This window comes from Homo sapiens, chromosome 17 (assembly GCF_000001405.40).
Source record: "Homo sapiens chromosome 17, GRCh38.p14 Primary Assembly".
NCBI lineage: Eukaryota > Metazoa > Chordata > Mammalia > Primates > Hominidae > Homo > Homo sapiens.
In genome coordinates, this window is record NC_000017.11 from 75923840 (window position 1) to 75950188 (window position 26349).

The window sequence follows — 26349 nt, forward strand, 5'->3', positions numbered from 1 at the left end:
TCCATCACATGAACCAGGGACAGTTCTACCCACAGAGAACAGGAACAGGATCAAATGACAGCCATGGGCACACAGGTCTAAAGAAAAATCAGGCCGAGCACGGTGGCTCATGTCTGTAATCCCAGATCTTTGGGAGGCCAGGGTGGGCAGATCGCTTAAGGCCAGGAGTTCAAGACCAGCCTGGCCAACATGTGAAACCCCATCTCTACTAAAAACACAAAAAAATTAGTCAGGTGTGGTGGTGGGCGCCTGTAATCCCAGCTACTTGGGAGGCTGAGGCATGAGAATTGCTTGAACCCGGGAGGCAGAGGTTGTGGTAAGCCGAGATCATGCCACTGCACTCCAGCCTGGGCGACAGAGTGAGACTCTGTCTAAAAAAAATAATAATAAGTTGGATCAAGTGGTTTCCAGGTTTTCCAACAACAGTTACTTCATTTGTTCGGCCGTGGCCTTCATCTGTCACTGACCAGTGGCAGCAGGTTCCCAGGGTTAAGAACGTACTGGGTATGGGAAGTAATGCCGATGTGCTTAGAGCTATTCAGATAGAAAGAGGATGAAGAAGCCAACCTGGCAAATGGGAACAACTGCTGAACCTGGGAAAGGATGAGAGGGGCTCCTGGTGCTGTTCTTACAACTTCTGAAGTTTTTTTTTGAGACGGAGTCTCGCTCTATTGCCCAGGCTGGAGTGCAGTGAGTGGTGCAATCTCAGCTCACCACAACTTCCGCCTCTAGGATTCAAGCTATTCTCCTGCCTCAGCCTCCCGAGTAGCTGGAATCACAGGCGCCCACCACCACGCCCAGCTAATTTTTGTATTTTCAGCAGAGACGGGGTTTCACCATGTTGGCCAGGCTGGTCTTGAACTCCTGACCTCAGGTGATCCACCTGCCTTGGTCTCCCAAACTGCTGAGATTACAGGCATGAGCCACCATACCCAGCCGACTTTTGAAGTTTGAAATTACTTCAAAATACAAAGTTTAAAATATATACTGGCAAAAGAACTCCAAACTCAGAAAATCCTATCACTGATTTAATTTTTTTTTTTGTAAACTGAGAGGATCACGCTGTCAGAATTGTCACGGCAGGTTCGACAGCAGAGTTCCTGGGAAGCGGGGTCTAAGAAGCCACCGCAGATGCCAGTGGTCTTGCTACCCATCAGGAAGTATGTTCCTTGGGGAGACCGAGCGACATCACAGCCTTTTATGATTTCAGGGGCTTTAGGTGGAGGCAGGCCCACCTGCCCCTTTCCTTCTGAGGCTGGGTGGGGCACTGGCGAACCTGAGCAGCGTCTGGGATGGGGGTTCCCACTGGGGCCATCTCCTCCACTCTGTCTGGGCTGGCGGGACCAGGCCATCTCCCGCTTCCTTCAGCACCTGCAGAGCTGAGGGCCTTGTACCCTGTGGCCTCCCACATGAGACTCTCGGGTGGGACAGGGGACAGCTGCAGGGGCCTGTCTTCCCAGTGGCCGACCTGTCTCAAGAGGCCAAGCCTCCTGCAGGCCCCACTTACCTGACAGACTGCCGGCGGGACTGCCGGCCCTCAGAGGAGACCACAGTGGGCTGATAGGCTCCAAAGGTGAAGTCCTCGTCACCCCACATATCTTCACTGTCTGTGAATTAAGGAGCCTGTGACCGTGATCTGGAGTAGGGGAACCAAGCTCATTTGCGGCTGCAAAATTCTAACAAAAGCTGAATTTGGTAGCTTGTTGTGTAAGACAAGCAGAGGGAAGCTGCTGTGAAGGGAGCACCTCAGGCACTGGCCAGGAAGATGCAGTGGCCTTGCAGTAGCCAGACCCTGCCCCAGGATCCCTCGAGGTCAGGTCCAGCGAGCGGCATGTGTCACAAGAATGATTCTCAGCAGACAGCTTGTGGGCTGATGCTTTGAGAAACATGTCCAGAGCAGTGCTTTTCAAATGCGAGCTGCTACCCATGAGAGGGCTGAGAAACCAGCTTAATGTGTCACAGCCAGTGTGTTTCCAAATCAAACAGCATCTCAATCATAGACAACTGAGCACGAACAGTGGTCACGGTAAGTATTATTTCACGGTAAGTATTATTTTGTCTCAGCTATAGACGTGTATAATCACATGTGTGTATCAGGATGTGAGGCTGATTTCTCATTATAGGTTGTGATGAAAGCCTGATCTAGAGGCCTCCCTCCCGTCCTGTTGCGGCCCCCGCAAGCCTCCTTACCCTGTGGCCTCTGGTACTTCTTGTCTAGCTTGAACTCCCTGTGCTCCCCGGTGCCCGGGCGGGCCAGGAGTTTGGTGGCCATGCCTCGACCCAGCAGCTCATCCAGCGTGGAGCGAGCAGGGCGAGGCCCTTCCCTGCAGGACGGGACACACGGCAGGAACGTGTAGGTATGAGGGGCTCTCGGGAATCCCACAGTACCCGTCCACCAGCTTTTCCCTGAACCTGAGGCAGCAGCCTGGCCTACTCAGGGATCCTTACTGGTCTCCTATCTGCCTCTTCTCTGCTTTGGGGCTGTCTCCAAACCCCAAGGTGGCCATGATGTCATCCCCATCATCAAACAACAATTCTTCTTTTTTTCGGATGGGGGTGTCCCCAGGAGTTAGAGGAATAGAGGGACCTGAAAGACAAAACAAGGCCCAATGCCTGCAGCCTTCTTGCCCTCAACTGTGATATCTGAATGGGGTTGGGGGTGGTTTCTCTGCACCTTTGGGTAGGACGACAGGCTTTAGACCTGCCTGGTCTGTCCACGGGACCCAATTCCTCCAGCCTACTCCCAGACTCACACGTCCTACCTTCCTATTCCTAAAGGCTGATGATCTCTTTGTACTGGACCTTAGACCTCTGGTCCCCACCTGGGAGAGGCCTCTGGTTCTGCACCAGAAAGGCTGGTTAGCTTGTTGCCAATAAACTCTTCCTCCAGGATGGGAAATGAGCCCACTCCACCCTACCTTGATCTCTCACTGTGCTGGGGCTCTTGTCAGAAGCTGTTTTACTCTGTGTCACAGGCGGCTGCTTGGTGATTCCTCCTTCATCATAGGAGAGAAGTCCTCTCAATGGGTCTTCCAAGTCTCACAGCAGAAGGGAAAGCACAGGTCAGACTGCAGCACTTAGTTGAGGAAAAGCAAGCCTGAACTGGGGAGCAGCGCTCGAGTCAAGGCTTCTAGCTGCTCCAGTACATAAACAAGCCCCCTGGCATCTGGAGGGTGGGGCCTGGGGCAACGGGGACTCCACAAAAAGACAGGCCGGGCAAGGAGAGAGGGAGTTGGAGGGCGGCCCTGGACCTACGGGGCCTGCCTCAGGCTTGCCGGTGGGGCCTCTGACTCTGCAGGCTGCATGGCCTTCTGGAAATGTCCCTCAAGCATCAGAAGAGAAGTAAAATATCCACACATTCATGACGGGAAAGGGGCTCCTTCCTATACTTGGGAAGATCTTCAGTTTGATGCCTGGCTTTAAGGTCTTTGCAAATAAGTTCCCTAATATCTCAGCCAATACAATATAGCTGGTCCCGACATGAATTCACGAGGAAGTAAACCAGTGGCACCCATGTGACATAGGCAGCAGCTGGGCCTCGGGCCAGCAAGCATGCCTAGGCTGCTCCACTCCCAAACCAGAGTGTCCCAGAGGCATGACAGGAGCCTATGGTACCTTCAGAGGAAAACCTCCTGTTCTGATGCCCAGAGCTGCTGGGAGACGGAAGTGACTTCTTGGTGGGAATGGCACCCCCTGCAGGAAGCAGAAGACAAGGTCATGGGCCTGAGTCTCTCCTGGCCAAAGTCCTCCTCCCATATCATGGACTGGGGCCCCTGGGATGGGGTGCACTTCTTCCTGGGAAGCTGGGGGCTCATGGCCATGGGCACAGCCAAGGGAGGAGTCTCCAGTTCTGCCATGGGCTTCTGGCAGGGAAACGAGGTAGGAGCTACCTCTGCTTCCTCATCATGAGTCACTCCAGAGACATGGGTTCAGGAGAGGCACAGGCTGCCATAGAGTTCTCCATTTTAACTCACACAGCTTCTCCAGGAGCTGCCCATGTTGGACCCAGAGGGCCTGGAACAGCTCGAGGAAGGGAGGAAACTCAAGCTGTCCCCTTACCCCACCACACACACTCAAACACACACACGCACAAATGCTCCTTGGCCTCTCCATCCTGTGCAGAGAAAACCCAAGGACATGAACGCTTCCTACTAGCATCTTCCACGTCCTCAAAGTCTCCCTAGCAGATGCGAGGAGCCGTCTCCCATGCACCTTTCTCACTGGCTACTGACCCACCTGCAGGCTTGGGGTGGTTGGGCAGCTCTCCTTTCCCAGGGTCCTTTGCAGCTTTTTTGCTAGGGGCTGAATTAGATTTCTTCAGACCTAAGATATCAGCATCCATGCCGTCCAGGTCCTAGAAAACCAGGGAGGGAGGGCAGAGGACTATGTCTGATAAGGGGCTGAGGACTTCCACCTGAGAGAGATGGGCTGTTGGCACCCCAGGTGTAGAATTGTGAGAAAACAAAGGAAAATGAGAAAACTGTTGAGAAAAACAGTGAGTGAAGAAAGAAAATGGAACTAAAGGTAAGCAGGGGGAGGTGGAATGGAGTCCAGCTCATGGTTCTGGGATGAGAGACTCAAAGTCAGCACCAAAAATTGAGTCAGAGGACTTGTGGGTTATGCCCAGGGATCCTAGGTGGCTGGTCTCGGGAAAAAAGCTTTCTTTTTTTTCTTTTTTTAGACAGGATATTGGCCGGGCGCGGTGGCTCATGCCTAGAATCCCAGCACTTTGGGCCGAGGCAGGTGGATCACCAGGTCAAGAAATCGAGACCATCCTGGCCAACATGATGAAACCCTGTCTCTACAAAAAATACAAAAATTAGTTGGGTGTGGTGGTGCACGCCTGTAATCCCAGCTACTTGGGAGGCTGAGGTAGGAGAATCGCTTGAACCTGGGAGGTGGAGGTTGCAGTGAGCCGAGATCATGCCACTGCACTCCAGCCTAGGCAACAGAGCAAGACTCCGTCTCAAAAAAATAAAAATAAATTAAAAATAAAATAAAATAAAGACAGAGTCTCACTCTGTCACCCAGGCTGGAGTGAAGTGGTGCGATCATAGCTCATTGCAGCCTCCAACTTCTGAGCTCAAGTGATCCACCTGCCATGGCCTCCCAAAGTGCTGGCATTACAGGAGTAAGCCACCATGCCAGACTTTTTTTTTTTTTTTGAAGACAGAGTCTCACTCTGTCACCACCCAGGCTGTAGTGCAGTGGTGTGATCATAGCTCATTGCAGCCTCCAACTCCTAGGCTCAAGCGAGCCTACTGCCTCGGCCTCCCAAAGTTCTGGGATTACAGGTGCCTGGCCTTTGAGGAGAAAGATTTCAAGATGAGATTAAAGAAGCTGAATCTGGACCGGGTGTGGTGCCTCATGCCTGTAATTACAGTATTTTGGGAGGCCAAGGTAAGAGAATCGCTTAAGGCCAGGAGTTTAAGGTTGCAATGAGATCACACCACTGCACTCCAGCCTGGGTGATAGAATGCGATGGTGTCTCTAAAAAAAAACCCAAAAAACAAAAATACACAACAAAAACAAGAGCCCCACAGGGCTGTAACCAAAAACGCGGCTTTGTCCTAGGGACTGTGGCAAAATGGGTTAACTAAAAGGGACACAAAACCCCAAGGGTCAGACAGGAAGGTGCTGCTGGCTGGAAGGAGAGGGAGAACAAGGTGTCTTAGGCCAAGCTAGAGATTATGTCCTTACAAATTATTCAGAATCTGTGCCTTAAAAATCCATTGCAAAGATTGGCGCTGGGCTTGATCTGATGAGAAGACAGCAGTATTGAAGGGGGCTTGGCAGGGGATGTGGAGAGAAATATGGAGAAAGATTAAGAACAAGCATTAGAGGAAAGAGTCTCCCCCTCTGTCTTCTAGGTGGAGGTGAGGGGACCCAGCTAGGTGGGCCTCCGAGTAGAGCTGGCCCCGTTTCCCCAGAGGCCTGTGGCACTCTCCACTCTCTATATACCAGGAACACTGGTTGATACTCAGAAAGGCAAGGAGGCCAACGGCTCACAGACGAGTTCCATGCTTGCACGAGGAAGGGCTCAGAAACACAGGTTGTAAAGGGAGAAATTAGAAGGAGAATGAAGCTTTGGTACAAAATATCATGACCCCACCCCACCCACCCCCAGTTCTAAGAATCGTGCAAGCTGTTTCCTTACCTTCATGGCCTGGAGCAGAGCCTGTGGGTCTGCCTCTGAGATACCTGAAACCTAAGTCCACAATGAGGGTGAGGACACAGATGAGGAGGCACATTAGTCAAGGCCCAATAAAACTCAGGGTCCTGGCCCCTTGCTTCTGTTAGGGCAGACGGCGCGGCAGGAGCAGAGCTTGGCCAATGGAGCTTACACAGGAGGGTGGCTTTGTTCCCCTTGCTTGGGCTTGGCAGTTGTTTGAAGCCAAACCTGCCTGGTTTTAGAGACTCAGAGAGCACTGCCATTCCTACTCCTTCCAACCATAGAGAACTCTTCCATCCAGGACTGAAATTCTGCTACTTCCCACCCATGCCAATGGACAGCTATGGAGTTTATAAGGGGAAAGGAGCAACATCTAAGACTCTAGCAGTTTCAGGGAGCTCTCCTTTCCACTCATCTTACTACAGGAAAGAGGATTCTGCTTTGGGTCCACTCGGCAGCCCTTGGGCATTATTTACAGTGGCTCACGCCTGTAATCCCAGCACTTTGGGAGGCCGAGGCGGGTAGATCACTTGAGGTCAGGAGTTTGAGGCCAGCCTGGCCAATGTGGTGAAACCCCGTCTCTACTAAAAATACAAAATTACCTACTAAAAATACAAAAATTATTTTCTTTGGCTGGGCACGGTGGGTCAGCCTGTAATCACAGTACTTTGAGAGGCCGATGTGGGTGGATCAAGAGGTTAGGAGTTTGAGACCAGCCTGACCAACAGGGTGAAACCCCATCTCTACTAAAAATACAAAAATCAGCCAGGCGTGGTGGTGGGTGCCTGTAATCCCAGCTACTCAAGAGGCTGAGGCAGGAGAATCGCTTGAACCAGGAGGCGGAGATTGCAGTGAGCCAAGATCGCACTACTGCATTCCAGCCTGGGCGACAGAGGGAGACTCCATCTCAAAACAAAAACAACAACAACAAAAATTAGCCAGTCATGGTGGCAGGCACCTGTAAGCCCAGCTACTTGGGAGGCTGAGGCAGGAGAATTGCTTGACCCCGGGAGGCAGAGGTTGCAGTGAGCCGAGATCACACCACTGCACTCTAGCCTGAGCAACAGAGGGAGACTCCATCTCAAAAAACAAACAAAAAGAACAAAGTGACTTTGCAGGGACTTCTAAACCCTTCCGTGGGCAGCCCCTTGGCCACAACACCCATCTCAGTGTTTCTGGGGATAAGTAGGGAGGTGGAGGGAAACAGCCAGGCTCACCTCAGCATCAGCTTCTTCCAGGCCTGCCATGGTGCTGAAGACATCATCACCCAGGAGGGACCTGCAAAGGGGAGGCGTCAGCCCCTACCTGCATCCCAGGGCACTGGATGACTCTAAAAAGGGGAGGAGTAGCTTAGAAAGCCCAAGGAATCTCGGATAGGTCTCTCCGGAGAACAGAGGTGCTAAAAGGAATGTCACAGGCCACCTGATGCAGTGATTTTCAACTTTGTTAGCAGTAGAACTGCTTCAAAAACAAATTGTTAAAAACCATAGGGCTGGGTGTGGGGGCTCATGCCTGTAATCCCAGCACTTTGGGAGGCCGAGGCAGGTGGATCACTTGAGGTCAGGAGTTTGGGACCAACCTGGCCAACATGGTGAAACCCCATCTCTACTAAAAATACAAAAATTAGCCAGGCGTGGTGGCGGGCACCTGTAATCCCAGCTACTCAGGAGGCTGAGGCAGGAGAATCACTTGAACCGGGAGGTGGAGGCTGCAATGAGCTGACATTGCGCCACTGCACTCCAGCCTGGGCGACAGAGCAAGACTCTGTCTCAAAAAATAAAGTAAAAAAAAAAAAGTAAGAAAAACAACTGCTCCAGATCACAAGAGGGAGGAGGGCTCAGAAAATTCCTCCCTATCTCTCATCTGTGGGGTATTCATTCTTATCTTAGAAGAACAAACACAATTTGAAAATCACTGATCTAGGCCAATCCTTTAATTCTGAGGATAAGAAAATGAGGGCTCAGAGAAGTTCAGAAACTGCCCAAGGTCATATCATAAGTAACAGATAGAGGATAGAAGCCAGGACTGCTGACCTTTTGTGCAGTTCTCTTTAACTTCCCCAGGCTCCTTCAATAAAACCAGGAGCTGGCCAGGCGCGGTGGCGCACGCCTGTAATAACAGCACTTTGGGAGGCCAAGGTGGGCAGATCACCTGAGATCAGGAGTTCGAGACCAGCCTGGTCAACATGGTGAAACCCCATCTCCACTAATAACAAAGTAGCCAGACGTGGTGGTGTGTGCCTGTAATCCCAACTGCGTGGGAGGCTGAGGCAGGAGAACTGCTGGAACCTGGGAGGCAGAGGTTAGAGTGAGCCGATCGCACCACTGCACTCCAGCCTGGGTGACAGAGTGAGACTCCATCTCAAAAAAAGAGAGAAAATAAAAATAAATAAATAAATAAACAAAACCAGGAGCTGAGGGAAGTGGGTGGAAATTAACTGACATTAGAAGTGAGCACGGCCAGGTGCGAGTGACTCACACCTGTAATCCCAGCACTTTGGGAGACTGAGTGGATCGCTTCAGCCCAGGAGTTCAAGACCAGCCTGGGCAATGTGGTAAAATTGTCTTCACTAAAAATACCAAAATTAGCCGGGTGGGCCGGGCATGGTGCCTCACGCCTGTAATCCCAGCACTTTGGGAGGCCGAGGTGGGCGGATCACCTGAGGTCAGTTTGAGACCAGCCTGACCAATATGGTGAAACCTTGTCTCTACTAAAAATACAAAAATTAGCCAGGTGTGGTGGTGGGCACCTGTAGTCCCAGCTACTTGGGAGGCTGAGACAGGAGAATTGCTTGAACCGGGGTGGTGGAGGTTGCAGTGAGCCGAGATGGTGCCACTGCACTCCAGCCTCGGCAACAAATATTCTCTAAAAAAAAAAAAAAAAAAAATGGCGAGCAAATGTGAAGTAGAAAGTGGGGGGTGGAGGGGCAGAGAGCATTTAGACTGAAGTAGGTCATGGATACCCAGTCGGACCCTGCCCTTACTTTGTTCTCGCCTTTGAAGAAGGGAACATCTGAGATACACCTGTGGTGTCTCTGGTATGTGAAGCTAGTTTAACAGGCTTCTCAGGTAGTGTCACTGGAAAAAAAGAAAAGAGAAAACGTGTCATTTAACTAAAGGTACCTGGAGTCAAGATGCAAAGGCTGGCAAGCTCCCTTCCCAAGCTGTCTCTGTATTAGGAGGAAGAAATCTGGCCAAATAGGCAGGTCCCAATGTCACCCCTTGGAAAACCTGAATGGGAGAGAGGGTGGTACATTTCCAAGGAGGAAGTCAACCCTAAATGCCAAATACCAAATGAAGAGCCCAACCCAACCCAACCCAACTCAATGCACCCCAAGGAAATGCATGAGGAACAATTGCTTTTCCACAGCCCAAAACTGTAGGCTGGAATACATGGGCTGGAATACATTAGCCAGGCGTGGTGGTGGGTGCCTGTAATCCATCCCAGCTACTCAGTAGGCTGAGGCAGGAGAATCGCTTGAACCGGGAGACGGAGATTGCAGTGAGCTGAAATTGCGCCACTGCACTCCAGCCTGGGTGACAGGAGCTTTGTGGGTTCTCTGGGGCCATGTAGGGGAAACCTAAGTCTCTCTGTCCCTGGTGAGCTTTACATGACCATGAAGCCAGGTTCCTTAATAGACCAACACGAACACAAATAATATGGATTAGCATCCAGAATCTACAAGGAACTCTTTTAACTCAACGATAAAAAGACAAGTAACCCAATTAAAAAGGGGCAAAGGATCTGAACAGACATTTCTCCAAAGATATACACGTGGCCAATAAACACATGAAAAGATGCTGAACATCATTAGTCATTAGGGAAATGCACATCAAAACTACAATGAGATACCCACTTTACACCCTCTAGGATGGCAATCATCAAAAAGAAGGAAAACAAGTATTAGCAAGGATGTAGAGGAACTAGAGCCATCTTACACTGTTGGTGGGATGTAAAATGGCACAGCTGCTGTGGAAAAGCAGTCTCCTCAAAAAGTTAAACATACAGTTACCATATGGTCCAGGAATTCCAAATGAACTGAAAACACATGTCCGCCCAAAAACTAGTACACGAACGTTCATAACAGCATTATTCATAACAGCCGAAATGTGGAAATATCTCAGATATCCATCAACTGATGAAGGGATTAAACAAAATGTGATTTATCTACACAATGGAACATTATCTAGCCATAAAAAAGTTAAAGTACTGATTCATGCCACAGTGTGGATAAACTTGGAAAATATTATGCTACATCAGAGAAGCTACGTGTGCTAGGCATGGTAGCTCATGCCTGTAATCCCAACACTTTGGGAGGCTGAGGCAGGTGTTTGAGGCCAGGAGTTCAAGATCAGCCTGGCCAACATGGCGAAAACCCATCTCTACTAAAAATACAAAAAGTAGCTGGTTGTGGTGGTGCATGCCTGTAACCCCAGCTACTTGGGAAGCTGAGGCACGAGAATCGCTTGAACTCAGGAGGCAGAGGCAGAGCCGAGATGGTGCCACTGCACTCCAGCCTGGGTGACACAGTGAGACTCTGTCTCAAAAAAAAAAAAAAAAAGCTAGATGTAAAGGTAAGATGCTGGCCGGGCGCGGTGGCTCAATACCTGTAATCCCAGCACTTTGGGAGGCCAAGATGGGTGGATCACCTGAGGTTGGGAGTTCGAGACCAGACTGACCAACGTGGAGAAACCCCCATCTCTACTAAAAATACAAAATTAGCTGGGCGTGGTGGCGAGCGCCTGTAATCCCAGCTACTCAGGAGGCTGAGGCAGGAGAATTGCTTGAACCTGGGAGGTGGAGGTTGCGGTGAGCCGAGATTGCGCCATTGCACTCCAGCCTGGGCAACAAGAGTGAAACTCTGTCTCAAAAAAAAAAAAAAAAAAAGGTAAGATGCTGTGTGATTCCATTTTATGTAAAGTGTCCACAATAGGCAAATCCATAGAGACAGAGAGTAAATAATAAGTGCTTGCCTAAGGTTGGAGGGAGGAGAGAATGAAATTGACTACTAATGGGCATGGGGTTTCTTTAAGGGGTGATGGAAAATGTTCCGGAATTAGGTAATGTTGATGGTTGTACAACTTTTGAATATTCAAAAACCACTGAGTTGTACACTTTACAGGAGTGGACTTTATGCTATATAAATTACATCTCATTTTTTTTTTTTTTTTGAGACGGAGTCTCGCTCTGTCGCACAGGCTGGAGCGCAGTGGTGCAACGTTGGCTCACTGCAACCTCCGCCTCCTGGGTTCAAGTGATTCTCCTGCCTCAGCTTTCCAAGTAGGTGGGATTACAGGCGCCCGCCACTATGCCCAGCTAATTTTTTTTTGTATTTTTAGTAGAGATGGGGTTTCGCCATGTTGGTCAGGCTGGTCTTGAACTCCTGACCTTGTGATTGGCCCTCCTCCTCCTCCCAGAGTGCTGGGATTACAGGCGCATATATCTCAATTTTTAAAAAAGGCCGGGTGTAGTGGCTTATGCCTGTAATCCCAGCACTTTGGTTTAGGAGGCGGGAGGATCATTTCAGTCCAGAAGCTTGGGACCAGCCTGGGCAACATAGTAAGAAAAAAAAGCAACAGCAGCAGCCCAAATTAGGGGATTCTGGGCAAGGCACACTTACTATCATCCCCTAGAAGGTCACCAAGAAAATCATCAATGGAGCCTGGAACAGAAAAGGGACTGTCATGACTTCAGGAGGAAAGAAGAGTGGCCCTTATAAACATCAAGGCTTGAGACTCGCCAGAAGGCGTCAGACCTTTCAGATGTTGGGACTTAGGCTTAGCTCTCCTTTCATTGGCCACGAGATGTTTTACAAGTTTCTGGCAACAAGTCACAAAGCCTTGTTGAAATACCCCGAGGCAGAAATTTAAATAACTATCTCAGGCTGGGCGCAGTGGCTCACACCTGCAATCCCAGCACTTTGGGAGGCCGAGGCGGGTGGATCACCTGAAGTCAGGAGTTCGAGACCAGCCTGACCAACATGGCAAAACCCTGTCTTTACTAAAAATACAAAAAAAATGGCTGGGCGCGGTGGCTCACACCTGCAATCCCAGCACTTTGGGAGGCCAAGGCGGGTGGATCACCTGAAGTCAGGAGTTCGAGACCAGCCTGGCTAACACAGTGAAACCCTGTCTCTACTAAAAATACAAAAAATTAGCCAGGTGTGGTGGCATGTGCCTGTAGTCCCAGGTACTCGGGAGGCTGAGGCAGAAGAATCACTTGAACCCGGGTGGCAGAGTTTGTAGTGAGCCGAGATCGCACCACTGCACTCCAGCCTGGGCGACAGAGCGATACGCCGTCTCAAAAAACAACAAAAAGACCCCCCCCAAAATTAGCTGGGCCTGGTGGCGCATGCTTGTAATCCCAGCTACTGGAGAGGATGAGGCAGGAGAATTGCTTGAACCTGGGAGGCAGAGGTTGCAGTGAGCCGAGATCGCGCCACTGCATTCCAGCCTGGGTGACAGAGCAAGACGCCGTCTCAAAAACAAACAAACAAACAAAACCAAAACAAAAATTAGCCGGGCATGGTGACACATGCCTGTAATCCCAATTACTGGGGAGGCTGAGGCAGAAGAATTGCTTGAAACTGGGAGGCAGAGGTTGCAGTGACCTGAGATCACGCCATTGCACTCTACCCCGGGCAACAGAGCAAGACTCCGTCTTAAAAAAAAAAACAAAAAAACACAACTATCTGAAAGGATGATGGTGCAGATTTTCAGCAGAACCTATATTCTACCTGCCTACCATGACACACTGGCCAAAGATCAGTCTTCCAGACCCTGAACACAGCCCAGTGCAGCTCGCTGGGAAGAGTGCCCAAGATTTCTAGGCACATGGAGGCTACTTTCAGACAAGTAGGCTCCTTGTACCCTTCCATCTAAGACCCCCCAGAACTGGTCTGGATGTCCTCATCAATGGCCACTTTCTGATGGAGGCATGTGGGGGAACCTAAGTATGAATATCGAATTCGTTTCCCCACACCAGCTTTCCCACCCTGAATCCCAACCACATATTTCTGGATACAGAGCCCAAGGAGGAGGATTTTTTCCAAAACCTCATATCTTATTTACGTCTGAACTTCTCTGAGGACCAGTGAGGCAACATAAGGAAGACCAAGGCTGCCTACGGAATAATGGGAAGAACAGCAAGACTGATCAAAAACATTTTTTTTTTTTTTGAGACGGAGTCTCACTCTGTTGCCCAGGCTGGAGTGCAGTGGTGAGATCTCGGCTCACTGCAAGCTCCGCCTCCTGTGTTCACACCATTCTCCTGCCTCAGCCTCCCGAGTAGCTGGGACTACAGGCACCCGCCACCACGCCCGGCTAATTTTTTGTATTTTTAGCAGAGACGGGGTTTCATCGTGTTAGCCAGGATGGTCTCGATCTCCTGACCTCATGATCCACCCACCTCGGCCTCCCAAAGCGCTGGGATTACAGGTGTGAGCCACCGTGCCCGGCCCAAAAACATTTAAATAAACACATCTCATTGTTCCAGGACCAAAGGGGAAAAAGATATATATTTGGCTTAAGAGTAATGTTCCATCTCTCCACTCACCTTTACATCCTTTCTTGGTTTTTGGTGCCTAAAATGGGAAAAACAAATCACATCAAGAAAACCAAACAGTGAACACAGGTGGAAATTGGCAATGCAGAATGAATTGCGTTGCCTTTTGCCAAGTAACCAGAGGCAAGAGCACCAATGGCATTTAGAGATGTAAGTCCTTTATGTGTTCCTATAGTTTCTGAGAACGGACTCATTCAGAGCGTGGAAACAGCCCTGCTAACCAGCGATGGGTGCCAATGGGCGGGCAGGTCACTCCTTTCCCAGACACGACATGCAAACCCTCCCAGCCGAGATGTCATGTGACCGGAAATGTCTTCTATTCCGTGCCCCTGACTCCTCAATACCAGTGACAGACACTTAAAAACGCTTCCAGCTGGACACTCAGAGTCTCAGAAGAAACCTTGGTCGTCGAAAGTTTGGTATCAATGCCACCTCCTGTCACTCTTCTCCAGGGTCTCCATCCTGGTCCTTGCCGCCCAGCCCCCAGAGTGTTGCATGCAGTCAAGATCTTTGGGGATGCAGGATGGGAGGCATGTTCGCTTTCCATGCATCTTACTCTGAACTCTGCCTACCATCTCACGGCTCTCGGGGGTGCTCTCAGCTCCTTCACAGCACTGGCCAGCTCATCTGGATTCTGCCCACATCAGGCTCATACTCCCTAATGAAGAAAATTAAAGTGGTTGCTTAAAAATGATGTAGCTTTGGCTGGGCGCCATGGCTCACGCCTGTTAATCCCAGCACTTTCAGAGGCCAAGGCGGGGGGATCACCTGAGGTCAGGAATTCAAGACCAGCCTGGCCAACATGGTGAAACCCTGTCTCTACTAAAAACAAAAATTAGCTGGGTGTGGTGGTGTACATCTGTAATCCCGCAGCAGGAGGCTGAGGCAAGAGACTCGTTTGAACCGGGGAGGTGGAAGCTGCAGTGAGCCAAGACCGCGCCACTGCACTCCAACCTAGGCAACAGAGTGAGACTCCATCTCAAAAAAAAAAAAAAAAAAAAAAGAGACCGGGCGCGATGGCTCATGCCTGTAATCCCAAAACTCTTTGGGAGGCCGAGGCAGGTGGACTACCTGAGGTCAGGGGTTCGTGACCAGCTTGGCCAACATGGTAAAACCCCACCTCTACTAAAAAATACAAAAAATTAGCTGGGTGTGGTGGCAGGCACCTGTAATCCCAGCTACTTGGCAGGCTGAGGCAGGAGAATCGCTTGAACCCGCTAGACGGAGGTTGCAGTGAGCTGAGATCATGCTATGCATTCTAGCCTGGGCAACAGAGCAAGACTCCATCTCAAAAAAAAAAAAAGATGTAGGTTTAACAGCATGAATCCAAGGGTTATCAAAGTTCTCTCACTTTGCCCATTCAAGAGGTAAAGCCCATTTCCATAAATTAAAAATTCCTTATAGGGGATGCACTTCAGAAGAGGAGCAAAGTACTCTCAGGCTGGGCGCGGTGGCTCACACCTGTTATCCCAGCACTTTGGGAGGCTGAGGTGGGCAGATCATTTGAGGTCAGGAGTTCAAGACCAGCCTGACCAACATGGTGAAACCCCATTTCTACTAAAAATACAAAAATTAGCTGGGCATGGTGGCATATGCCTGTAATCTCAGCTACTCAGGAGGCTGAGGCAGGAGACTAGGTTGAACCTAGGAGGAGAAGGTTGCAGTGAGCCGAGATCGCCCCACTGCACTCCAGCCTGGGCAACATGCGAGACTCTGTCTCCAAAAAAAAAAAAAAAAAAAAAACGTGCTCTGGATAACTTAATGGGCTTTCTGAGGCTTTGAGATTACTTGAAAAAAGGGCAGTGGCCATCATCCCTTACCCTGAAAGCCGATGCAGCAAGTGGCAAGTACTCATTTCAGAAAGGAGGTGGGTGCCTGGCACCAAGGCTGAAACCCTTTCCCAGGCAACACCCATGACTACTTTCTAGGCAGCATTTAGCACAAAAGCAGGTATGAACTCTGGTTACTCTTTGATATTCTTTTTCTTTTTAAAATTTTTTTTTTCGAGACGGGGTCTCACTGTGTTACTCAGGTTGGTATTGAACTCTGGGGCTCAAGCAATCCTCCTGCGTTGGTCTTCCAAAGTGCTGGGATTACAGGTGTGAGCCACCACGTCCAGCAACACGATTTTCACTGACAGTGGAAATATTTCCCTTTACATAGGCAGTAAATCTGACCCATTGAGAACATTTTCCTCGGAATTAGCTGTCTCCCTCCCCCTCCTCCACTTTACCAAAACCCACCTACAGGATGTCCTGGAAGAAAGGAGTCAGAGGGGTCCTCTTTATGTCCCAAGTATTGGCCTGTCCTGTTATTGGAATGCAAGGGTTATCTGGGCTTACCTACAGAGCCCACCCTGAATACATGTGTTTTCTTTTTTTTCTTTTTTTAGACGGAGTCTTGCTCTGTTGCCCAGGATGGAGTGCAGTGGTGCGATCTTGGCTCACCACAACCTCAGCCTCCCGGGTTCAAGCGAATCTCCTGCCTCAGCCTCCCGAGTAGCTGGGAATACAGGCACATGCCACCATGCCCGGTTAATTTTTGTATTTTTAGTAGAGACGGGGTTTCACTGTTGGCCAGGAGGTCTCGAACTCCTGACCTCGTGATCTGCCCGTCTCGGCCTCCCAAAGTGCTAGGATTACAGGTGTGAGCCACCACGCCTGGCCTTCTTTCTTTTTTTTTTTTCCAGACAGGGTCTCGCTCTGTTGCCCAGGCTGGAGTGCAGTGGCACGATCACAGCTCTCATAGCTTACTGCAGCCTCGACCTCCTTGGGCTCAGGCGATCCTCCAATGTCAGCCTCCCTAGCAGCTGGGACCACAGGCACACGCCACCATGTGCGGCAAATTTTAAAATTTTTTTTGTAGAGACGGGGGTCTCCCTATGTTGCCCAGGGTCGTCCCAGACGCCTGGCCTCAAGTGATCCTCCCGCCTTGGCCTCCCAAAGTGTCGGGATTACAGGCGTGAGCCACCGTGCCCGGCCTTGTTTCTTTTTCTCTGCAATGGCGACTTCACGACCTACAAGTCCAAATGTGTCCCATAACACATCAAGGAACTTCTGGCATCTCCTATCGATCCTGTACGGGCTTCTCAGACTATGGGGATTTTCTAGGCTTGGTTTGCCAAGGCCAAAGGGCTACAGAGTAACCCCGTCCCCACATGTATTCAGCCGACTCCATGCCAGGCGTTTTACAGATCCCGAGACCACCCCTAAGCAAGACCCCTAGCCGGAGTCGCCCCTCCGTCCCGAGACTCCGCGCCCCTCAATGCGTCACCCTTCTGAGCGCCCGGCCTATCTGGCCCCGGAGCGCAGCCTGTAACGCTCTCAGCCCCGGAAGCCTCCTGTTACGCGCCGTGCCCCCGGAGGTGCGGCCGCTGGGACCAGCGCCGGCCCTGGCTCCATTCGGGTCGCCCAGCCCGGCCAGGACTGGCCTCCCGCTTCCAGCCGCTGCCGGCACCCTCAGCCGTCTGGCCTCCCGCGGAAAGGCGGGCGCGAGGCATCCTGGGAGTCGCAGTCGGCGGTCGACTCACCCGCCCTCACAGAGGAGGTGGGGACGCCATGAAGAACTACAGCTCCCAGGGAGCCGCGCGCGGCAGTTGGCGGGGCCGGGCTTCTGCCGGCGGCGGGCACGTTGCTAGGAGCTGCCCCAACGCCTCTCCGGGAAGAGGGCGCCAGGCTCAAAGGCCCTCTTGGGAACTGCCGGGAAGCTTAAAAGTTCCTCCTGCCCACTTCTGAGGGCTGACACGTGGCCGACGCGGAGGCGTGAGAAATGTGTTGATATTGGGAGGTTGACGGGTGAATCCACAAATTCACCGGTGTTTATTCCACACCCCAAAGCTTGAGGGAAGTGACTGACCTGTTTAATGATCCAATCAAAGCTGTATAGCCAGAATGAAACCCAATACTGTCGCCCCACAAAAAGATTAAGTCACATTTTTTCTAGTATGTGCTAATTATGAATTTTATTAAGGTTTATTCAATGTCACAGAGGAAAGAACGGTTTGTAGTTTTGCTTACCCGCAGTGCTGGCAGGTCACAGCTGTCCAACCATGATCCATTCACATGCTCTGGCCCCGTGCCCCTCGTCCTCCCACCCCTACCCCACAGGACACCATTAAGCCAGGGCTGGGTAACAACATATGCTCAATGCATCTTCTCAGGTGAGAACCAAACTCGAGCCACAACAGCAAAGGGGGAAAAAGGTAGCAAAGTAATTATGTGCTCCCAAGGCAGTCATTTAGTTGAATCCATAACTGGAAATAAAAAGGCATTTATGAAGTGTAGTCCGCAGTCTGAATGTGGAAGGTGGAAGATCACACATTTACTAAGAAACACTCAAAACATATTTTGGTTCAGAATTCTAAAAAATCCCGAATTTTCCATGATCTTCCCAAGACAACCAATGACCCACTTAAATTTAAGGCAAAAACACCCTTGAATCTAGGAATGTGCACATATGCAACAGCTAACATCTGGTAACTCTAATAATGTTCCTTATATGTTTCTGTGTTTACTATCATGAACCATAGGAAGAAGTACTGGAAAATTTAGTAAGTGTGGACAGTTAAAAACACTGGCCCGGCACGGTGGCTCACGCCTGTAATCCCAGCACTTTGGGAGGCCGAGGTGGGTGGATCACGAGGTCAGGAGTTCAAGACCAGCCTGGCCAACTTGGTGAAACCCCTGTCTCTACTAAAAATACAAAAAAACTAGACAGGCATGGTGGCAGGCGCTGTAATCCCAGCTTCTCAGGAGGCTGAGGCAGAGAATTGCTTGAACCCGGGAGGCAGAGGTTGCAGTGAGCCAAGATTTCGCCACTGCACTCTACCCTGGGTGAAAGAGCAAGACAACGTCTCAAAAAAAAAAAAAAAAAAAAAAGCAAAACCCCACCATCAATATTTTAAAATAAAAAGTCGTTTTAGTCAATTACAGTGTGACTTGTTCTAATCCTCCAAGAATGGAGTAGTAAAGAAACAGCAGAAATGACTTCCCTGCATTATTTCATGAAAATGATCAAAACCTTTATCTAAGTCAGAACATCAACAAGACTCTTGGTCTCAGGTCATCAGTTTCCTGGCACTCCTCCTCTCTCTAGCTGTAGTAGCAGCTACTGCTTGAAGACAACCTATATATCCCAGGCATACCCTCTACACGTATAAAAAGATGTGCAGGTGTTACAGACCACCTACACCTAATTCACTTCCTTTCTAATAAGATGGATGGAATAACTCGGAAAAGGGAAAGGAGGGATTTTGAGCCGCAGTTGTCTAAAGAATTATTGATTCACAGGGATCTCCAAGATCATGCATTTGAAGAGTTTTATTTCTCCACCCAAAGCCCTGCAGTGAAGAAAATCCAAGAATTAAGATGTAACATGTTGGCTGGGTGAGGTGGCTTGTGGCTTATGCCTGTAATCCCAGCACTTTGGGAAGTGTGGGGGGAGTGGGAGTGCAGATCACCTGGCCAACATGGTGAAACTCCATCTCTGCTCAAAATACAAAAATTAGCCGAGCGTGATGGCAGGTGCCTGTAATCCCAGCTACTCAGGAGGCTGAGGTGGGAGAATCGCTCGAACCCGGGAGGTGAAGATTGCAGTGAAGTCGAGATCGCACCATTGCATTCCCGCCTGGGAGACTCCATCTCAAAAAAAAAAAAAAAAAAATTAACATGTTGGCCCAGTGCAGTAGCTCACTCCTGTAATCCCAACCCTTTGGGAGGCCTGAGGTGGGAGGGTCACCTGAGGCTAGGAGTTCATGACGGGCCCAAGGCAACATAGCCATACCCTATTTCCAAAAATAAAAAAAAATAAAAAATTAGCCAGGTGTGGTGGTGTGCACCAGTAATCCCAGCTTCTCAGAGGAGGCCAAAGCAGGAGGATCACTTGAGCCCAGGAGTTGGTGGCCAAAGTGTGCTACAATCACACCACTGCATTCCAGCCTGGGTGAGAGTGAGACCCTCATGGGGTGGAAAAAAAAGATCTAACATGTTAACTTTAGGAACTATAAAATGCCTTCAGGTGTATGTGATCTGAAATTACAAGTGGTGACTTCTCAGAAAGCATATGAACACGGTGAATGTTGTAATGTTCTGAAGATAAGCTGATACTTAGTAGTGATATGTTCTAAAGACAAGAACATGAGGGCCCCAAAGCCTGTGTCATCAACTCTGCTTTGAGGTCACTAATTTTTAAATACAGAGCATAAAGTAGAACTCCAAACACTTGGGCAAGAAGAAAATCCATTGCAAATAGCCAACACATTTCTATTAAACCTCACATTTTCAATTTTGTATTTGGTTGAGAGTACTTTTTAAAAAAAGGCTTAAATCAATATTATCTAACACACACAAAAAATCTCATTAATTCTCCTCACTCTGGGCCAGATGCTGTGGCTCACACCTATAATCTCAGCACTTTGGGAGGCTGAGGCGAAATGATCGCTTGAGCCCAGGAGTCTGAGACCAGCCTGGGCAACATGGCAAAACCCCGTCTCTACAGAAAAAATAGAACAAATTAGCTGGGCATGGTGGCACGTGCCTGTCGTCCCAGCTACTCAGGAGACTGAGGAGGGAGGACCATTTGAACCCGGGAGGCAGAGGTCACAGTAAGCCAAGATCCCACCACTGCACTCCAGTCTGGGTGACAGTGATACCCTGTCTCAAAAAGATAAAAATAAAATTCCTACTCAGTAATTTTGGAGAAGACAAGGTTAAAATGTATCTTTGTACTTGTGAAAATGGCTTACAAAATTTTGAATCCAACAGACCCAAACTTGTCAGTGGCAGTCTAGTGTGGTAGAGAGAACAAACTGGACTTGCCACTTCCTTTAAGGTACAGCCAACAAATGTGTACCAAGTACTTCCAAGGACTCCTAAAGTGACTGGAGCCACTCACAACTATTGGTACAACTGCAGTAATTACAGCTGATTTACAGCTGTCCACTCAGGCAGGTATCACTCCTTCCTTTTTTGTTCTTAGTGTTCCCTAAATCTAATAAACCTCTATTCTAAATTTCTTCATAATTTAAACCTATGTTTAGTTGTGTGGCATATTTTTTCTCTCTTAATAGTACAAATCAGTGACGTTTACTCTATCTTTATTCTTGATTATATTGAATAAAGTTCAAGACAGAACATTCCAATATTAATAAAAATAGCATCAAATGTCAGATTTAGATTTTTTTTTTGAGACGGAGTCTCGCTCAGCCACCCAGGCTGCAGTGTAGTGGCACCATCTTGGCTCACTGCAACCTCTACCCGCCAAGTTCAAGCGATTATCCTGCCTCAGCCTCCCGAGTAGCTGGGACTACAGGCGCGTGCTACCACCATGCCCAGCTAATTTTTGTATTTTTTTCAGTAGAGACGGGGTTTCACCATGTTGGCCAGGATGGTCTCAAACTCCTGACCTCAGGTGATCCACCCGCTTCGGCCTCCCAAAGTGCTTGGATTACAGGCGTGAGCCACCACGCCTGGCCCCAGATTTAGATTTTAAATAAAACGTGAGGTACTGGGTCAAAGGGGGCTCTGCAGGTCGATGATCTCCTCAAACCTGCAAAGACATCCCATCTATGCAACTGGATTGGGGGGTGTCATTCCAAACACCCTCAGATCCTGCCCAGATATTCATCTGTGAACAAGGTATTTCAACACTAATTTTGAAACAATTCTACATCTAGCAGGTCAGTTTATCATTTTCCAGAATCTGAACTACTGTCAGGATAGACTCAAGTGAGATTAACACAGGGTTAATCTTCAATCTTAACACAATTATCAATTAGTTCTCCCAGTGGAACGATTAAGGCTTTTGTCAACATGTAGCATTTCTGCTGTAACCTATAAGTCTCATATTACCAGTTCCCCAGGATAGATAGATATTATGTCAGGTCCCAAGATAGGAGTTATGTTTCCATGGAATTAAGCCATATTCTCAGGACTGATTCTAGAACAGCTGGTTTCATGAGGCATATGGCGTAGATTAAAAAAAAACAAAACAAAGTGACTTACATTGACTTTAAGAAAAAATTAATTAAGATGTATTTAACCTTTAAGTATAGAATGATTGTATAAATTAGATTTCAACTGAAAGGACAATTAGCGATTCAGAGAAAGCTCCTAGAAATAGACTGAAAACAAAGCCATACATAGAGTAAGAAATAGAACCTATGGAACTTCCATTTTTCTAACTATAGTTTTTTGTTTTTGTTTTTTCCCAGTTGTTAAAAAAAAAACAACTCACAGTTTCAATATTTTCTGAACCAAAAATCAGAACACATGGTTTGTGTCAAAGGGTTTTTCTGTGCTACGTCTGGGAGTGCTGACCTAAGTGACATTTTTTTTTAATGCCAAATACAGTAATCTCCAAGCTTTTAATGGCTTATGCCAAGATGACAGAATATGTGAAATCTGATTGTCCCAGAGTTACACTCTGCACTCCAAAGCTACAACAGTGCCACAGCTGAGAGGTTTCCCTATACTTCCTACTACTGTGACAATTTAGCAATCCTTCAAATGGAAAATTCCTAATTACACGAGACAATGGTCCTACAGTAGGCCCGTGCGGAATAAGTTCCCTCGTTGGAAAAATGCTAGCATGAATAGTTTGATAAATGCAATCCATCAGCAAAGGAGAGCAAGCAGGCAGAGACTGTGCCAAGCAGAAACTCATTCGCATCAAGTTTTCCAATAAGTTTCCTTCCCCCAGTCCCTTTTCTTCAATCCTGCTTTTAAGCCAGGCCCCAGGGTAAGTCTGGTAGAACACTGAGCAGGAAAGCTTGGAAGGGTTCTACACCACTTCAAAAATACCTTTGCTTAAAAACACTTATATAGCCAGTGATTAGCAATTAAAATGTGAAAATAATCAACTACTCAGTAGTTAAATTCTGCTAATTATCAAAAGTCATAGTCTACTGGGATCAGCAGCATTACAAAAGGAAGTCATATCGCATTTCTTAAGCTTTTTCTGAATGGTTTAACAGGTCTCTTTCAGTGTTAATTGCACTTAAAACATCTGCTTTTTTTCATTTAATCTCTGAAATCTGTTCATTTTTTCCCTCCATTTATAAAAAGGGGTCAATTTATCATTTGCTCTATAGCTATTTGAATTCGAAAAAGATTCCACAAAATTTGAGTTGCACACAGGCGCTTTCTGAAGCAGATTAAACTTGTCCTTGTGACACTTCAGAGCTTGGACTGCAGTGACTTCAGGTGCTTGTAAGATTCGTGGACCTGTGGGGAAAGGAGAGAGAAGAACTACTAATAAAGAGTTTGCCATGTTAAATAGTATACTGTTTTTTGTTTTTGTTTTTGTTTTTTTTTTGAGACTGAGTCCTGCTCTGTTGCTCAGGCTGGAGTGCAGTGGCACAATCTTGGCTCACTACAGCCTCTGCCTCCCAGACTCCAGCGATCTTCCCACCTTAGCCTCCCGAGTTGCTAGAACTACAGGTGTGTGCCATGACACCTGGCTGCTATTTGTATTTTTTTGTAGAGATGGGGGTTTACCATGTTGGCCAGGCTGGTCTAGAACTCCTCAATTCAAGTGATCCACCCACCTCAGCCTCCCAAAGTGCTAGGATTACAGGCGTGAGCCACTGTGCCCAGCCTGTGGTTGTTTCTGAAGAGTCCTTATCTTTTAGAGCTATGCATTGAATTATTTATGGATAAAATTATCTGATGTCTTAGTTTTTTTTTTTTTTTTGAAACGGAGCCTCGCTCTTGTTGCCCAGGCTGGAGTGCAATGGCATGGTCTCGGCTCACCGCAACCTCCGCCTCCCAGGCTCAAGCAATTCTCCTGTCTCAGCCTCCCAAGTAGCTGGGATTACAGGCATGCGCCACCACGCCTGGCTAATTTTGTATTTTTAGTAGAAACAAGGTTTCTCCATGTTGGTCAGGCTGGTCTCAAACTCCCGACCTCAGGTGATCCACCTGCCTCGGCCTCCCAGGTGTGCATCACTGAGCCTGGCCCTGATGTCTTAGATTTATTTCAAAATAGTCCCCAGGAGGAGGGGGATGAAGGTTCAGATGAAACACAACTAGCCACGAGTTGATAGTCATTGCTGCTAGACAAAGGGTGTACCAAAGAGCACTACGGAATTCTCTTTTTGTATATTTTATTCTATTTGTGTGTGTGTGTGTGTGTGTATACTTTTTTTTTTTTTTTGAGACAGAGTTTTGCTCTTGTCACCCAGGCTGGAGTGCAATGGCACGAACGTGGCTCACTGCAACCTCCGCCTCCTGGGTTCTCCTGGGTTCAAGCTGAGGCAGGAGAATTCCCGAGTAGCTGGGACTACAGCCGTGCACCATTACTGCCTGGCTGCTTTTTTTGTATTTTTAGTAGAGATTGGGTTTCGCCATTTTAGCCAGGCTAGTCTCGAACTCCTGACCTCAGGTGATCTGCCCACTCGGCCTCCCACAGTGCTGGGATTACAGGTGTGAGCCAACGCACCCGGCCTGTATATATTTTTAAATGTTCAATTCGTTATCAAAAATTGAAATTGATTAAGACCCTGGTTACTGTGGGAACAACCCAGTTCCCTTCTGAACCTGTTGCTCAAATAAAGTGACTGTCAGAAGTGGCCATGGTACTTTCAGAGCTTTCACAGATAAATCCCCTTCGAGAGGCCTTTCCTGCTTCAATATTTAAGTGAAGACTTTTAAAAAGGTGCAGAGACACTGGATTTTTACCTCTGCTTTGTTCAGTGGGGAGTTCTTAGCCCACTCAAACAAGTTTTCATACACATTCCCATCATAGCGGCCAAGCACAGAGCCAAGTGTCACATCCTGAAAATCAAATGCATCAACCAAAGCAACAGCATCTGAGCGAATCAGAGTGAGTAACTCCTTTACACGCTGGTTTACTTGTGTAATCTGAGGCTCTGTCATGATGCTCCCCTAAAAGAGACCAAAATAAGTAAATAAAACATATATATGTATATAGATAGACATAATTATATGCATATACAGCTATAAAGCGGATGACAATTATTTTTTTCTTTTTTTTTTTTTGAGACTGAGTTTCACTCTTGTTGCCCAGGCTGGAGTACAATGGTGTGATCTTGGCTCACCGCAATCTCCGCCTCCCAGGTTCAAGCAATTCTCCTCCCTTGGCCTCCCAAATAGCTGGAATTACAGGCATGCGCCAGCACACCTGGCTAATTTTGTATTTTTAGTAGAGATGGGGTTTCTCCATGTTGGTCAGGCTGGTCTCGAACTCCCGACCTCAGGTGATCTGCCCGCCTTGGCCAAAGTGTTGGGATTACAGGCATGAGCCACTGTGCCTGGCTATTTTTCTTTTTCTTTTTTTTTTTTTTTGAGACAGAGTATTGCTCTGTCACCCAGGCTGGAATGCAGTGGTTTCATCTTGGCTCACTGCAACCTCTGCCTCCAGGGTTCAAATGATTCTCGTGCCTCAGCCTCCCTAGTAGCTGGGATTACAGGCATGTGCCACTGCACCTGGCTAATTTTTGTATTTTTAGTAGAGACAGGGTTTCACCAGGCCAGGCTGGTCTTGAACTCCTGACCTCAAGTGATCACCGTACCCGCCTTGGGCTCCCAAAGTGCTGGGATTACAGGCATGAGCCACCGTGCCCAGCCAACAATTATTTTTCTTAAAACAACAACAAAAAAGACTTATACTTAGAAAATACTGACCTGAAGGAAATCCCCCGCGTTCTGACTGATTCCATACAGAGAATACAGCAGACATAAACTCCTTAAGACAGCTTGAATGGCTTTATCTTGAATTTTGAGGAGTTTTTCTGAAAAGAGCTTAACTACCACATAGTGGCAATGTGCCTAAGATTAAAAAGAAAACACCAGAGTTTGAGAACCTTGGAAAAAGATTCAATATACAGTGACTAGGGTTTCTGTACCAGAAAATGCGGGATGCTGAGGGCAGGGAAGGGGAAAAAGAGAGAACTACCACTGACCTCACTTGCTCGAACAAGGTCAACAGAAGTTAGGTTCCAAGCTACCTCCTTGCTTTTTCTGTGAATCACTTCTTTTTGAAGGTTTTTTGCAGCAATTTCTACTAATCTGTTAAGACATAGATTGGAGGTCTGAGGAAATGATCAACAGTACTCATGCCTTCTTGCCATCTGTCAGGGCCCCAGCCCCACTGCTGCGTATTCTAGCTCTTGAGGGAGAGCTCACCTGGCTGCACGGAGTTTATATGCTTCGGTTAGGCTTTCGGGGCTGTTGATATCCACCATGGTTGGCCAGACTGCTACCTGCTGTGGCTGGATGCGCTGACTGGGCAGGTCGTTCAAATAGGACACCATGCCACACACCAACTTTCCTGAGTGCACCTGATCATAACTTTTCATCAGGAACCTAAAAGTCACCAGTAAACATGCTTTTAGTAACTCTACTTTCTTTTGTTTCTTTTGAGATGGAGTTTCATTCTTGTTGCCTAGGCTGGATGGAGTGCAATGGCCAGATCTCAGCTCACTGCAACCTCCTCCTCTTGGGTTCAAATGAATGATTCTCCTGCCTCAGCCTCCCAAGTAGCTGGGACTACAGGCACCTGCCACCATTCCTGGCTAATTTTTAATATTTTGTTTTTTTAGTAGAGACAGGGTTTTACCATGTTGGCCAGGCTGGTCTCTTAACTCCTGACCTCAA

The 26349-nt window shown here is 48.3% G+C and overlaps 2 protein-coding genes across 6 annotated transcripts in view, besides 3 other annotated features; both read right to left on the bottom strand.

The window, feature by feature from the left end:
- FBF1 (Fas binding factor 1) overlaps positions 1-17203 on the bottom strand; it is a 31469-nt gene extending 14266 nt beyond the window's left edge. The window contains exons 1-13 of the mRNA NM_001319193.2: positions 17009-17203; positions 14308-14393; positions 13727-13754; positions 11793-11834; positions 9156-9249; positions 7390-7450; positions 6158-6208; positions 4237-4354; positions 3616-3693; positions 2919-3038; positions 2449-2587; positions 2191-2324; positions 1508-1607 (exon numbers count right to left, since the gene is read on the bottom strand). Coding sequence (NP_001306122.1) covers positions 1508-1607; positions 2191-2324; positions 2449-2587; positions 2919-3038; positions 3616-3693; positions 4237-4354; positions 6158-6208; positions 7390-7450; positions 9156-9249; positions 11793-11834; positions 13727-13754; positions 14308-14310 — 968 coding nt within the window. The 5' untranslated portion in view covers positions 14311-14393; positions 17009-17203. The remainder of the gene's footprint in view (positions 1-1507; positions 1608-2190; positions 2325-2448; positions 2588-2918; positions 3039-3615; positions 3694-4236; positions 4355-6157; positions 6209-7389; positions 7451-9155; positions 9250-11792; positions 11835-13726; positions 13755-14307; positions 14394-17008) is intronic.
- Positions 1864-3063: an enhancer, noted in NCBI's record as "CDK7 strongly-dependent group 2 enhancer chr17:73921784-73922983 (GRCh37/hg19 assembly coordinates)". NCBI's record gives its function as "activates an origin of replication core promoter dependent on BRD2, BRD4, P300/CBP, MED14 and CDK7 cofactors, with strong dependence on CDK7, by STARR-seq in HCT116 cells {active_cell/tissue: HCT116}" and the evidence as "EXISTENCE:reporter gene assay evidence [ECO:0000049][PMID:35650434]".
- Positions 16972-17241: a silencer, noted in NCBI's record as "silent region_8998". NCBI's record gives its function as "represses an Ori minimal core promoter by ATAC-STARR-seq in GM12878 lymphoblastoid cells {active_cell/tissue: GM12878}" and the evidence as "EXISTENCE:reporter gene assay evidence [ECO:0000049][PMID:35858748]".
- Positions 17352-17421: an enhancer, noted in NCBI's record as "active region_12784". NCBI's record gives its function as "activates an Ori minimal core promoter by ATAC-STARR-seq in GM12878 lymphoblastoid cells {active_cell/tissue: GM12878}" and the evidence as "EXISTENCE:reporter gene assay evidence [ECO:0000049][PMID:35858748]".
- The window catches only part of ACOX1 (acyl-CoA oxidase 1), a 37660-nt gene continuing 28978 nt past the window's right edge, over positions 17668-26349 (bottom strand). For all 5 annotated transcript variants that reach the window (NM_004035.7, NM_007292.6, NM_001185039.2 and 2 more), the window contains 5 exons: positions 25879-26058; positions 25656-25761; positions 25378-25521; positions 24412-24618; positions 17668-22956 (listed from right to left, as the gene is read on the bottom strand). In NM_004035.7, the coding sequence (NP_004026.2) occupies positions 22909-22956; positions 24412-24618; positions 25378-25521; positions 25656-25761; positions 25879-26058 (685 nt within the window). In that variant the 3' untranslated portion in view covers positions 17668-22908. The remainder of the gene's footprint in view (positions 22957-24411; positions 24619-25377; positions 25522-25655; positions 25762-25878; positions 26059-26349) is intronic.